We start from the raw sequence: 14,047 nt of genomic DNA, 5'->3' as shown, positions 1-14,047 counted from the left end.
CGCCGTGACCACGGGATCCGCGCGAGGCCCTCCCCTGCCGCGCCGGCCAGGCCCGCACCCCCTACCCTCAAGCCGCGCCGCCGCCTGCACCCACGACCCCTGATGCTTGGGTCCCCGCGGCTCTCGGCCCAGCGCGACTCCAGAGGCTCCGCCCAGCGCCCCGGGCCCCCATCCCGACTCCCACCCCGCTCGCGCGCTCAGTCCCAGCGACCCGCACTGCGCTCCCCGCCTGGGCGCCGCTGCACTCACCACGGCTGGTCCAGCTCGCGGCTCTGCCTTTCCTGTGTGCTCCCTCCAGATTCCCCGGCTCGTTCAAGGGAAACCGCTGCCGCCGCCCTCGGGTTCCGCCGCGGGGCTGCGAGCGCGCGCGGGCCAGTTCGGGCCGGGGGCGGGAACCGGCTCGGATGCTCAGGGACGGTGGGGGTGGCAGGGCCCACCGGCTTGAGGCTGCCTTTCCCGGCGTTCCCTCGTTTATTGGCTCACTCTTCCTTTCATCCATCCATCCTTTGCGCAACAATATTTGATGGGAAGCCTGCCAAGGTAACACTGTTTTAGCACCTGGAACTAAGTCGGAAAATAAATTAACTAAATGAACAAGGCCATTGGAGATGGTGCTCCGTGCCACGAAGAAAATGAAACGAGGTGATGGAAGGCAGTGCGGGAAGGGGGAGAACTGTGTGAAATTAGGCGGCCTGCGCTAGGCCTTCTGAGTAAGGGGCCATTGGTCTGAGACCTGGATGTCAAGAAGGAGCAGCTGAAGCAAAGATCCAGGGGAGAGAGCCTGGAGAGGGAAGGGCCCGTGCAAAAGCTGAAAAGCCTGGGGCACTCTGGCGAGTTGCAGGCCAGTGTGGGTGAGACAGAGAGAGCTAAGGAGACAGGCCAAGCGAGGAAGCTGGAGAGGTGGAGACAGGCCACGGCGGCCAGGAGTTTGGACATGACATTAAACAGGGCGAGAAGACATTGCGGGGGTGCAATCAGGGGCTGGTGGGACTGGTTTCCATTTCACACAGCTCTCTGGCCACAGGTGCTTGATTGGATTCTAGAGAACAAGAGAGCAACGGAGAAGCTAGGCCAATGCCAACCTCCAGACAGTTTACATTCTGTACTCGCCCACCAGATTGGTGTGGGGACAAAGCCAGGTCCTTCTTCTTTCCAGCATTCAGTCTGCCAACTTTTTTTTTTTTTTAGACAGGGTCTCACTCTGTGGCTCAGGCGCTAGTGCAGTGGTGCAATCTCAGCTCACTGCAGCCTCTGCTTCCCGGGTTCAAGCAATTCTTGTGCCTCAGCCTCCCGAGTAACTGGGATTACAGGTGTGTGCCACCAGGCCCAGCTAAATTTTTTTGTATTTTTAGTAAAGACGGGGGTTTTGTCACGTTGGCCAGGCTGGTCTCGAACTCCTGACCTCAAGCGATCTGCCCGCCTTGGCCTCCCAAAGTGCTACGATTATAGGCATGAGCCATCGCACCCGGCCAGTCAACCAACATTTGAGTGTGCACTAGGCCCTGCATCAGGCACTGGGGGTATGCTCAGGTACAAGGCCCTTCATGGTTCCTGCCCCATGGAGCTTGCTATCTAGTCTGCACATTTCCTACGTGTAGACATGCATCCTACCTATGTCTCCCTAGGTGAATGCTTCAAAAAAAAAAGGCCGGGGCGGGGACCTTCAATGAGGCTATGGTGCAGTAAACATATTCCTTATGCCAGGGTGCACCAATCCATTGGGCCACACTGTTTAGTAGCAAGAAATTTCTAGCCCTCTCTCCTGAGTCTCCATCTGTAAACTAGGGGACTGAGAACATTACTATTAAAAAAAAACCCTTCTAGCTCTAAAATGTTGTCATAGGGTATGGAAGACCATTATTTTCAGTTCCTCTTTTCCAACTATCTAAAGCGTTTGTGTTTGGAAATAAGCTTCTGAACTGCTCACCTGCAGGCTAGAAAAATCTGAGACTTGATTTTGATGTTCCAAGGGTCAGACTCAGCGTATGCTTTAGGGCTTCAGCATGAAAGTGGTTCCCCAAATAAGAAAAGGTCAGCTTTGATGAAGGATGAAGAAGGATGGAAATATAGGAGATTAAGGGAATCTGAATACACACCTGCAGGCAGATGTGTAGGTTGGAGTTTTGGAGACCTATACCAATTCTACTCTCTTCCAAATACCATTTTACTAGGATGCATTCAGATTCCAGAATAATCAGGCACAAGCTCTAGCCAGCCCTGAATGGGTTCCTGCAGCCCAACAGAAACCTGACACTCTGACTTAGGCAGCCCCAAGAACTTCTGTTAGGCTGGGCGCAGTGGCTCAAGCCTGTAATCCCAGCACTTTGGGAGGCCAAGATGGGTGGATTGCCTAAGGTCAGGAGTTTGAGACCAGCCTGGCCAATATGGTGAAACTGTCTCTACTAAAAGTACAAAAATTAGCCAAGCGTGGTGGCAGGTGTCTGTAATCCCAGCTACATGGGAGGCTGAGACAAGAGAATTGCTTGAACCTGGGAGGCGGAGGTTACAGTGAGCCGATATCGCGCCATTGCGCTCTAGCCTGGGCAAGAAGAGCAAAACTACCTCTCAAAAAACAAAACAAAACAAAACAAAACTCTTAGTCAAGGATTAACACAAGTTCCCTCTCATAGTCAAAGAGAGTCCTGGAGAGCTTCCTTTGCTGATCCGTGTTAAGGATCTACGATGCCAGAGAAGACTCAGGTCTGACACTCTGGCCCTTAGAGGCCTGGAACAGTGCCTCGGGCACAGTCCCTGAGGCTCAATGGCACATTCATGCCACAGAGAGGACCAAAGACAGATCCAAATGCACACAGCCAGAGAGAAGGGCTTGGCTTATGTACTTCCTTTTCCATGTTCTTTGTTCACTATCACTAACAGCTGAGCGAGGTTCCCAAGGAGCTATTTGGAATTTGCCTGGGTCTTCAGCTCTTGCCTGGGATCGTCAGAGAAGAACATTTTGCACTGTCAAGGATAGGGACTTGTGTCTCTTTTCACAACTAACACATTGCCACATATAATACTATACTTTATGCATATTGAAATAAGTGACACATTGAAAGTATGGGCCCCAGTTGCTTACAAAATGAATTTATGTTCCCTTGAGGACGAATGTACTGACTGACATCTAGTAGCTCCCAGGAATGGAAGAGTCTTACAACTCAAGATCTCTAGCATTTTCCAAATATGGTGGCTGACCATCCCAGTAGCTTCTCATTAGTCCAGAACCAATCCTGAGGTAACATTCTCTTGGCTCAGAATCTGTTTGGTTTTGTTTGTCTGTTTTTTGAGACAGAGTTTCGCTCTTGTCACCCAGGCCTGAATGCAATGGCGTGATCTCAGCTCACTGCAACCTCCACCTCCTGGGTTCAACCAATTCTCCTGCCTCAGCCTCCCAAGTAGCTGGGATTACAGGAGCCTACCACCACGCCTGGCTAATTTTTGTATTTTTAGTAGAGATGGGGTTTCACCATGTTGGCCAGGCTGGTGTTGAATTCCTGACCTCAGGTGATCCGCCTGTCTCAGCCTCCCAAAGTGCTGGGATTACAGGCATGAGCCACCGTGCCTGGTCTGGGCTCAGAATCCGTTATTAAGGATGTTACAGGGAAATGACCTTGGCCTAGAAATAGGGTGAGAAGAAACTAAGACAGGAGTGCCATGGTCATTCAACAAGAAAGAGTATTTCACTCTCCAGTCAGATTGCCCCCTACTGTGGAAGAGTGTTCAAGAACATAAGACGAGAGAAAGAATCAAGGTTTAAGGTAGTCTCACATTTCAATTTTTTGCTCATTGACAAGATATATAGAGATATATAATTTTTTATATGTGTATAAAAAATTCTCATACTTGCAACCTCCCTCTCAGTTGTGTACATCAACTACATACAGCTAGAACAGCAATGATGGCATGCTGAATTGCTGTCAATTGATTACCTAGAAAGTGGGCACTGTGTGACTCTCACCTCTCAGTTATCCCCTCCCTGCCTTTACCACCTCCCTGAAGCCCCTGAAGTTGGTCAGCTTCACTCAACCTGGTGGTATAATAAAATCCATTGCAGGGGTAGGATTTGGAGTGGTTGGTGAACCCACCACTCTAGAGTCTGAAGCTTACAGGTGTAAAACAAAAAGGAAGGAAGGAAGACTGGTGGAATAAATAAACCAAAGGTAAGTGGAGCCCCCTTCACCATTCTTAGCTTCTTTCGTAACTGTTATGTTGTATCATTAAAGTGTATTGTACATTTTATCTCCTTACCTAACATCCATTGCCCCTTTCTTCTTTCCTAACAGGAATTAAATTTTGTTCAGACATCCACTCTTCACCTTCCCAGCCCCTGTTTGCCTGTAACTACAAAGCAGGTGACTAGATAACCCCATCCCCTTTGCCAAGGGTTAGTTTACAGTCACTTTAGGTAATCACAGTCATTCCTCTTCCATCTCCAATGATTAGATTAGGAATAGATCATGTCACTCGATTTAGAACAGTCTTAAAAGGAAGTCTGCTGAGAGATCTCTAGGAAAGGTTTCCTTCTTAAAAGGGAGAATTCAAGAAAGAAATGGCAATCAACATTAAAAACATTAGGCTAGGTGGGCCGGGTGCAGTGGCTCACACCTGTAATCCCAGCACTTTGGGAGGCCAAGGCAGGAGTATCACCTGAGGTCAGGAGTTTAAGGCCAGCCTAGCCAACATGGTGAAACCCCATTTCTACTGAAAATACAAAAATTAGCTGGGCACAGGGGTGCATGCCTGTAATCCCAGCCACCTGGAGGCTGAGGCAGGAGAATCACCAGAACCTGGGAGGCGGAGGCTGCAGTAAGCCAAGGTCACGCCACTGCACTCCAGCCTGGGTGACAGAGTGAGATTCCATCTCAAAAAAAAAAAAAAAAAAAAAAAAAAATTAGGCTAGGCGAAATAGGCCAGTCACAAAAGACCACATAGTGTATGACTCCACTTACATGAAACCACCAGAAGTGGCAGATGCATGAAAATGGAACATGGATTAGAGGTTGCCTAGGACTGCAGTTGGGGGGAGGTTGGGGAGAAGTGGGAAATGATTGCTAATGGGTATGGGATTTATTTTTAGGGAGATGAAAATGTTCTAAAATTGATGGTGGTGGTTGTAGGACAACTATGAATCTACTAAAACTCAGTGAAACATAAAGTTTAAGTAGGAAAATTGTATGGTATGTGAATTATATCTCCATAAAGCTGTTTTTTAAAAAAGAGAAAGAGATGGTCGCACTTTTCTCCTATAGGATCATATATGTGTATGTAATGCCTGAAACTGCTATAGTCATTCTTCATCCATGAAGGGAGCCAGCCCTAGGGCAAAGCCAACTCACAGAGAATGTCAGAGGAAAAAGATAAAGAGCCCAGGTCCTCAATGACATCACGGAACCAAATGGTTGTACTATGTCTGGAGTTTGCCCAAACTCTGGGACATCCTATTATGTGAAATAATAAATTCCCTTATTGTTTAGGGGGGAGTCAGGGTTTTCTGTTCCCTGGAGCCATGAGCCCCAACTTGATAAACTGCAAGCCATAGGCTATATTGGTGGATAGGAAACACAACGAGGACAGTGATTTAAAAGAAAAAAAAAAATGATGGCAAGGTTTTTTTGTGTGATTTTTGTTGTTGTTGTTGTTGTTTATGGAGTCTTGCTCTGTCGCCCAGCCTGGAGTGCAGTGGCATGATCTCTGCTCACTGCAACCTCCACCTCCCGGGTTCAAGTGATTCTCCTGCCTCAGCCTCCTGAGCAGCTGGGACTACAGGCATGGGCCACCAAGTCCAGCTAATTTTTGTATTTTAGTAGAGACTGGTTTCACCATATTGGCCAGGCTGCTCTCGAACTCCCGACCTTGTGATTCATCTGCCCCAGCCTCCCAAAGTGCTGGGATTACAGGTGTGAGCCACAACACTGGCCTATGGCAAGGTTTTAAGGGTGAAAATCGATGACAGAAGAAAGCAAGTTGACATCAATGGGATGCTTAACCTTTGGTTTTTCCTAAAATCATCCTCCAGTCATTTCCCTGGACCTTGGACCAGTGCTATGCTCTTTTTCTGTAGATTCATTAACACTAAAATAGAGTTAAAAGTTCAAAAAAAGATATAGTGTCCTTATGACCATTAGTAACCTTACTATGTAGCATCGCCAATGAAACCTGCTTGTGGGAACAGATGCTTCCCAGGGTGAGTACTTTGATCATGGAAAATTATGTACAAATTCTTTTAAGACTTATCTTGGTTTATTTGCTCATTTTTTGCATGTAGATACTTCTTTAGACTACTTTGTTTCCCCTAAGGAAAAAAATATGAAATGGTGTTCTTGTGGTATTTATGCTTAAAATCCTTTCCTTATTATGACCTTTAATATCCACTGAATCTATTGCTACCAGATTGGAAACATGTAAATGAGGCCTTTCAAGAAACCAACAGGTTCCTAGGAGAGAGAATATGTTTTCACATTATTGCATGAGGTTTTATAAGAACCCTCTATGCTGCCCATTGTCACCCATGATCTATATGGGCCCTGCATTTTCCTGAATGTGACTTCTCTTGTTAATGTGTCTTCTTGTCATCCTTTGCCACTTATTCCTCCTGACTCCAGCTAGGCCCTGGTCGGCACTTCCCAGCTGCCTGTTTAATATGGCAGTGAGTAGGAACAAAGGTAGGGCCCACATTGATTGTATTGAGCCAGGTCTCCAACATTGTTTTGCAAATTTTGGTTTTCAGGAGTAACCCAAATTCTAAGTACCCTGGAAGAAGAAAAGGGAAATTCTACCTGGAATGAATGTTAAGTTTTTTACTTTGGTAATTCATTTTTTCATTTCCAGGAGCATAGAGACCAGCAGTTTTTTTTTTAATTTTTTTTTTTTTTTTTTTTTTTTTTTTTAGGAAACCAAATTTCAAACAAAATAGTAATTATGGTAGTGTCATCCTAATAAGTTACCATATAATAAAAACTCTGAATTTTCTTATTTTTTAAACTACGAATTGCTCTAAGTATAGGGCATTGGAGAACAACAGGTACACACCATCATTATAAGACTTTTTTGGAATTTTGGTTCTGGCAAGGTAGTAGACCTGAAAAGTCTACCTATTCCAATACCTAGAAATTCGGGTTAAAACATAACAAGAGGATTCATAGTGCATAACTGAACTTGCCGTAAAGGAAGCTTCATCCCATGGGGCCAGAAAATAAGCGGGACCTGAAAGCTAAAATAGAAATATATGAGCCGATGATGTCATTGCCTGGCTTGAGGGTTCCGGCTCAACAATCTAGAAGCTATGTCTCAGCACAAGACATGAGAACTTGGGTCCTCCAAAGTCAGGGAGCTGGAAGTAAAACCTCTGACTACAATCACTAGGGAAAAAAATTTTTAAAAATCTACTCACCAATATAGGAAGATGACAAGGAAGTGGTGTGTCCCAGCCTGAGCTCTAGGTGGAAAAAGAGTCCCCAAATAAGTGATAACACCAAATCTGTGCCTAGGGTGGGTTTTCTGATTTGAATACACGTTATCTCAGTGGTACAGAAGTCTCAAAACTGGGAAAGTTAATATAAAAATTAGTCTCATAGTGATAATAGCTTTGAGTGTCTGACAGAAGCAAACACAAAGGCCTCTGGGGGAATGCTCCCATACCAGGCCAAAAAGGATTTTCCTATTTTTTAAAAAACCTTTCTAAAGATGTCACAATTTTAAAAAATCACAAAATACATGAAAAAATGATTTACTTTGAGTAAGTGAGGGAAAAAAAACCCATAGGAGAATTAGAGCCCCACAAACTTAAAATAATTGAATTATAGTTTAAAATAAAATAGTTCAAAATGATCAAAATCATTACTAAAGAAAAAAATTTTAATCTTAAGAAGAATACAAGGCACAAAGAAAAACAAAATAGCAAATTTTTAAAAGAACTCAGTATAACACCCAGAAATTTTTAAAATGCATAGTTACTAAAATTAAAAATTCAGTGATAAGTTAAAGAGGAGATTAAATACAGCTGATGAGAAAATTATTGAACTAGAAGACAGATGTGAGGATATTAACCAAATACAGCAAGAAGAGAAAAAAGAGAGGCAAAATATAAATAAGAGTTAAGGTTCTGGAAGACAGAATGAAATCCAATAGATGTCTAATAGGAGCTCCAGAATGAGAGAGTAGAGAGATGGGAAGAGGCAGTATTCAAAATATAACAGCAGGCCGGGTGCAGTGGCTCATGCCTGTAATCCCAGCACTTTGGAAAGCTGAGGCAGGCAGATCACTCAAGATCAGGAGTTCGAGACCAGCCTGGCCAAACATGGTGAAACCCCATCACTATTAAAAAAATACAAAAATTAGCTGGGCGTGGTGGCAGGTGCCTGTGATCCCAAATACTCAGGAGGCTGAGGCAGGAGAATCCCTTGAACCTGGGAGGCAGAGGTTGCAGTAAGCTGAGATCAGGCCTCTGCACTCCAGCCTGGGTGACAGAGCAAGACTCTGTCTCAAAACAAACAAACAAACCCAGCAGATACATCAGACTGAAACTGCAGAACATTAAAGGCAAATTTTACAGGGAAGCAAAGGAAATTAAATGGAAACATATAAATGCATGTGACCTTACAAAAGGGAAACACGAGTGGAGGTTGCCGTTCTTGGTTCTGCCACTTGCTGCTGGGCTGTGGCTGTGATTCTGACTTGCCCCTCTGTAATTCATTTCATACCTCCTTACCTCAGGCCAGCCCTCAGCTGGCTAGGCTTTTTGGTTTGTTTGCTTGTTTGTTTGTTTAGTAGAGACAGGGTTTCACCATGTTGGCCAGACCAGTCTCGAACTCCTGGCCTCAAGTGATCTGCCTCCTCGGCCTCCCTCAAGTGATTCCCCCGTCTTGGCCTCCCAAAGTGCTGGGATTACAGGTGTGAGCCACTGCACCTGGTCTCAAGCTAGGCTTTTTGTTTTGGTTTGTTTTTGCAGAGGGTAAGGGCGATCTGATCTTCATTCCTGGAGGATTGAGTTCTGGGTCCTGCCTGGTTGGAAATGTAGTCGTCTTTCATTAACACTCCCACTGGATATGGCAATATAAAGAGGTGTCCAGTGTGTTCTTCTGGGTTTCATGCATTCATCTTCCTGCCCTCATTGCACAGCAGCAACTTTATTTCCCCTTGAAAATTGTGGTGAATTGTCCCTGATGAGAAAAAATCTTTTGCTTAGGGCCTCTGGTGACTTGCTTCCCTCCCAACTTTAGCAGGCTTAACTATAAGCTCAGTTGGTAGGACTGAGCTAGCTCAACAAAGAATGCAAAATCTCTGGCTTGCTGTGCAGACTCCCCTAGCTAAGTTCCAGATCCTAGTCATTTCCTTGGTGTGGATGCTCCCAGCATCACATAGTAGACCCGGTGTTTCTGTCTGTCTCCCAACTTCCCTAGAAATATCAAAAGCAGAAGGGACAGGATTCCATTCCTGGAGGACGTTCCACAGTATGACCAGCTGTGCCCAATCCAAGAACACCTCAATATGAAATAATAAGAATTTAAGGGATCATGTCATATGCACTCTCTTCCTCCTCCTCCCTTTGCTGCCACTATTGTTTTTCTCAACAAACCTTCCTTTACATTTCAGTAGTGTTTGTATGATACAGGGTGTGTATGTGTGTGTGCATATGTGTGCATGCTCACCCATGCCCCTTGCACATTGCTAGCTGTCTCAGCCTGGGTTCCTCAGTAAGTAGAGTTTGTGGGTTGGGGCTCATATGTTGTTACTTTATTAAGACATGCAATTCCAAGGAGGATGATGAGAAGCAAGGGGAGTGCAAAGGCAGGACAGCCCAAATGAGGATGTGGTATTGAGCTGACCACTGTTAAGTGTGACCAGTTGCTTCATTCAAAGGGGCAGTCTTCCAAAAAATCCATATAAACTGACTCTCAAGAACCATCCCATAGAGGAGAGGTAAGTGGAAGGATTTATCCACCAGTTCTTGCCTCCCACTGGTCAAAAGTTTGCCCCACAGTGTGTTAACAACCTACACTTCCAGGAAGCACAGGTGTGGGTGCTGAGCAGGGCTTCACAGCTGTGCCAACAAGGGAGCCCAGGGAGAAGGAGGCAGGAGGCTTGGGTTCCATCTGACAATGCCTCTCTAAAGTCAGCCAGAGCACATGCAAAGCTTGTCACCACAGCGACAGCTAGAAAAGAGATAAGTGGAGCTGTTAGTCACGAATGAATGCATGTGTTGGACACACTGACTAAAAACCCTGTTGTGTGCCTGTCTTGACCAGCTGCTAGTCTAAGCTTCAAATTCAGCATGACTATTAATCTCTTGGTGCTAGAGTTCCTTTATTGAGTATTAAGTGTTCTATACAATGGGGACATGGAACAAAAAGTTGTGAACAGAGGTCATTGAGTATTTGTGAGATGGTCCATCTTCAATTCTACTACTTAGTTCCCTGACTTATGTACTCTGGTTAATGGAAGAACTGCATCATATATTGAGCTGGTTCAAAGAATATTCTTAATCTTACAGGCAGCACTTTATATTGAAAGCATTTATTTAACTGAGGGCATGAGTGAAGTATAATAGGTTATTCCACTATTCTATAAGGACAGCTGCTTCTGGGTTGTTGGGTATCACATGATAAGACCAGTGATTCTCGTCTGCTATAACCCATTATTTAACTTGGGGTCCTTGGTTAGAAGCAATGTTGTCCAAGAAACTACAATCATTTATAAGACCTACCGTAAGTCCCCAGACAGTGGTTCTGGCAAAGCATGACCAAAACCAAGTCTGTGAATCCTTCATGGGGTCTTACTGTAAGCTGAGCTGTCTGTAGACACTGGAAGCATGATTAGATCTAAAGGACAAAATCAGATCATATCTGATCAGCAGAGGAATCTTCTCATGCTCTGAGCTCACTGAAACCTGGTAGCTTTTCATTCACCTCTCAAGTGGGTACTGGAGCACACACAAATCTTATACTTGCTGCCTCGAAAACATGTGCCTTCTTTTGGTAGAAGGTGCAGTGCACAGCGCCCTTCCCCTACTCTGATGCATTAATGCAGTGGACTAGCCAGTGTGATGTCTTTGGGATTGGTATGGTAGTAAAAGTCCCTTGTCCTTAGGGCCACATTGTTCCAATGACCATAGATCATAATATTTTCAATATTGAATATATCACTGTTTATTCCTTCACTGTTTTGTTTTTGTTTTGGAAATGGAGTCTCACTCTGCTGCCCAGGCTGGAGTGCAGTGGGGCTGGCACGATCTCAGCTCACTGCAACCTCCACCTCCCAGGTTCAAGTGATTCTCCTGCCTCAGCCTCTCCAGTAGCTAGGATTACAGGGACGTGCCACCACGTCTGGCTAATTTTTGTATTTTTTTAGTAGAGGCAGTGTTTCACCATGTTGGCCAGGCTGGTCTCGAACTCCTGACCTCAACTGATCTGCCCGCCTCAGCCTCCCAAAGTCCTGGGATTACAGGAGTGAGTCATCTCACCTGGTCTATTCCTTTACTGTTGAATGACTACCCATTAAGATTTTAACTTAAAAAATTTAAATAATTGACGTCATTTATTATAAATGTAGGGTTAGTTTTTAAAACTAGAATTAATGAATCAGAGGAAATATATTTGAGGTTCCAGATGCATTTTTCCAAATTTTTTAATTAAAAGCTTATAACCAATTTATGTTCCCACTATCTTCACTGGATAGTGCCTCTCATAGCACCCTTGCCATCAATAAGTATTGTTTTGCCCAATGTCTACTTATTTAATTGCTGGGAAAATAGTATTTCATTTTTTCAGTTTAAATTTCTTTGGTTATGAGTAAAACTATTTTTTCATCTATCCAGCCATTTTCCTCTTCCATAGAAATTTGCCTGTCTTTTACTTGTATTTTTATTCTATTTTCCCAACTTGCTTTTTATGTTTATTTTTATTTTTAAAATTCTATAAACTTACCTAAATGACTAAAGGATCAATCATTTTAGAAGGATGATCTACTAACTGGATTCTGTTGATGTTTTAATGCTTTTCTTGTCAGTTTGATACATGCTCTTTATGTAGTAAGGATGGTAATCCTTTGACTTATTTGTTGCAAATATTTAGCACTTGGTTTACAATATGTTTCGAAATAAAAGTAAAGAAAAAAACCTCTTGAATTTTATGTAGTTAAATCTCAGGCATATTCTTGGAGAGTCCTCTATCTAGTGATCAAAATTTATTTATATTTTCTTGGAGTTTTCTATGGTTTCATTTTTTATATTAATCTCTTAAAACTCACATATAATTATTGTTCTGTATCAAAATGTACCCAAATCTGTCCAACCTTAAGGTCTTCACTGAAGCCATTCCATTCACTTATCACCTAACTCCTTCTCACCTTCCTCCTCTCAGCTGAAAGGTGGCTTCACTCAAGAGACCTTCCCTGAGCCATCTGTTTAAATTAGGTTCCTTCTGTTGCCCTCTTTAATAGATTCCTTAACCTGTATGGCATTCATAATAATCTGTAATTATGTATTTAGTTCTTTAATTGTTTAATGCCCCCCATCTACTGTATTCTAAATTATATGAGAGCAGAAACAGTATTATTCTTTCTTACAGAATATCCATATCTTTATTTATAAAGTGCCTGGCATAAAATAAATAAAGGTTGAATGATTGAATGAGCCATGAACTTCCTTTGCTTTCTGCCCTCCCACATACAAAATTACATTTGTCTTTGTTCAAACTTAATAGTACAACCACTTTCCTCTGCTGCAGACTCAGGGAGCTTATGTTCACTCCTCCCATCCACAGCTCATCCATCCACCCGTGCTTGGGATGGCACCCCCATCTTCCCGTCCCCGAGAAATCTGCCTCATCAGTCCTTTCCTCACTCTGGTATTTTCTCCCTCCATCTCCACTGTCTTTTCCTCTTAGCATATAAACCTACTCAAAATCTGCCCACTCTAACATAGAAATATACCAAAATTACCCCCTTTCTTCTCCTTGCATTCCCACTACAATTTTTAAAATAAATCTTATTGGCATAACATTTACATACAACGAAATGCACCCATTTTTAGTGTGCAGATTGATGACTTTTGATAAATGCGTATGTTCCTATACTGGCCACAATGAAGATACAGACATTTCCATTGCCACCCAAGTGTTCTCTTATTCTTTTCCAGTCAGTTCCTACATTCCCTCAGTCCACCCCAACACCAGCCAATCACTAATCTTCTTTCTACCACTGTATGTTAATTTGTATCTTTTAGAGTTTTACATAAATGGAATTGTACAATATAGAACCTTTTGTTTCTGGCTTTTCTCTCAACACGGTTTTTTTTTTTTTTAAGATTTATCCATTGTGTGCTTCAGTAGTTTGCTCTTATTGATGACTAGTAGCCCATTGCATGGGTTTACTGCAATTTTTTTCATTCATTCACCTGTTGACAGACATTTAGGTTGTTTCAGGCTTTTTGCCATTATAAACAAAGGTGCATTCAACATTTGTATACAAGTCTTTTTGTGATATATGTTTATGTTTTTATTTCTTTTGGGTAAATACATAGGAAAGTGATGGCTGGGTTTTATGTAAGTGTGTTTAATTTCTTAAGACACTGTCAAACTAGTTTCCAAACTGGTTGCACTCCTTTACATTCCTGGAAGCAGGATATGAGACTTCCAATGGCTCCACATCCTCACCAGCACTTGGTATGTTAGTTTTAAAACTGAAGACATCCTAATATATCTAATCATCTGTGGAAGATATTGACAAAGCATCTGTTGAAATGTTTTGCCCATTTAAAAAATTCTTCTTATTGAATTGTTAAAGTTCTTTATATATTTTAGATACAAATCCCTTTCAGATATATTTTGCAAATATTTTCTTCCAGTCTATGTTGTGCTTTATTTTTATAACAGTGCTTTTTGAAAAGCAAAAGCTTTACATTTGGTGAAGTACAATTTATTGATTTTTTTTCTTTTATAGTTCATATTTGTAGGGCCCATTTAAGAGTTTTTTGCTTAATGCAATATCATTCCGATTTCTCCGATTTTTTTTTTCTTGCAGAAGTTTTATAATTTTTATTTTTATTTTTTGG

General features: G+C 42.9%; 1 protein-coding gene and 1 long non-coding RNA gene across 9 annotated transcripts in view, besides 2 other annotated features; one reads left to right on the top strand and one right to left on the bottom strand.

Annotated features, from left to right (window-relative positions):
• Nucleotides 1-274, bottom strand: part of AGK (acylglycerol kinase) — a 103,835-nt gene extending 103,561 nt beyond the window's left edge. For 2 of the 3 annotated variants that reach the window (NM_018238.4, NM_001364948.3), the window contains exon 1: nucleotides 250-274. The gene's annotated coding sequence lies outside the window, so the exon portion shown is untranslated. Of the gene's footprint in view, nucleotides 1-65 lie in introns of all 3 variants that reach the window. The other variant, XM_024446835.2, reaches the window with a different exon arrangement.
• Nucleotides 30-209: a silencer, noted in NCBI's record as "silent region_18718". NCBI's record gives its function as "represses an Ori minimal core promoter by ATAC-STARR-seq in GM12878 lymphoblastoid cells {active_cell/tissue: GM12878}" and the evidence as "EXISTENCE:reporter gene assay evidence [ECO:0000049][PMID:35858748]".
• Nucleotides 340-14,047, top strand: part of AGK-DT (AGK divergent transcript) — a 51,205-nt gene continuing 37,497 nt past the window's right edge. For 4 of the 6 annotated variants that reach the window (NR_183408.1, NR_183403.1, NR_183407.1 and 1 more), the window contains exon 1: nucleotides 340-540. This is a non-coding gene — a long non-coding RNA (AGK divergent transcript). Of the gene's footprint in view, nucleotides 541-4,283; nucleotides 4,353-14,047 lie in introns of all 6 variants that reach the window. The other 2 variants (NR_183405.1, NR_183404.1) reach the window with 1 other exon arrangement.
• Nucleotides 390-479: a silencer, noted in NCBI's record as "silent region_18717". NCBI's record gives its function as "represses an Ori minimal core promoter by ATAC-STARR-seq in GM12878 lymphoblastoid cells {active_cell/tissue: GM12878}" and the evidence as "EXISTENCE:reporter gene assay evidence [ECO:0000049][PMID:35858748]".

Source organism: Homo sapiens, chromosome 7, assembly GCF_000001405.40.
Source record: "Homo sapiens chromosome 7, GRCh38.p14 Primary Assembly".
NCBI classification, from domain to species: Eukaryota; Metazoa; Chordata; class Mammalia; order Primates; family Hominidae; genus Homo; species Homo sapiens.
The sequence above is the reverse complement of the archived record's forward strand: the minus strand, read 5'-3'. Positions and strand labels throughout refer to the sequence as shown.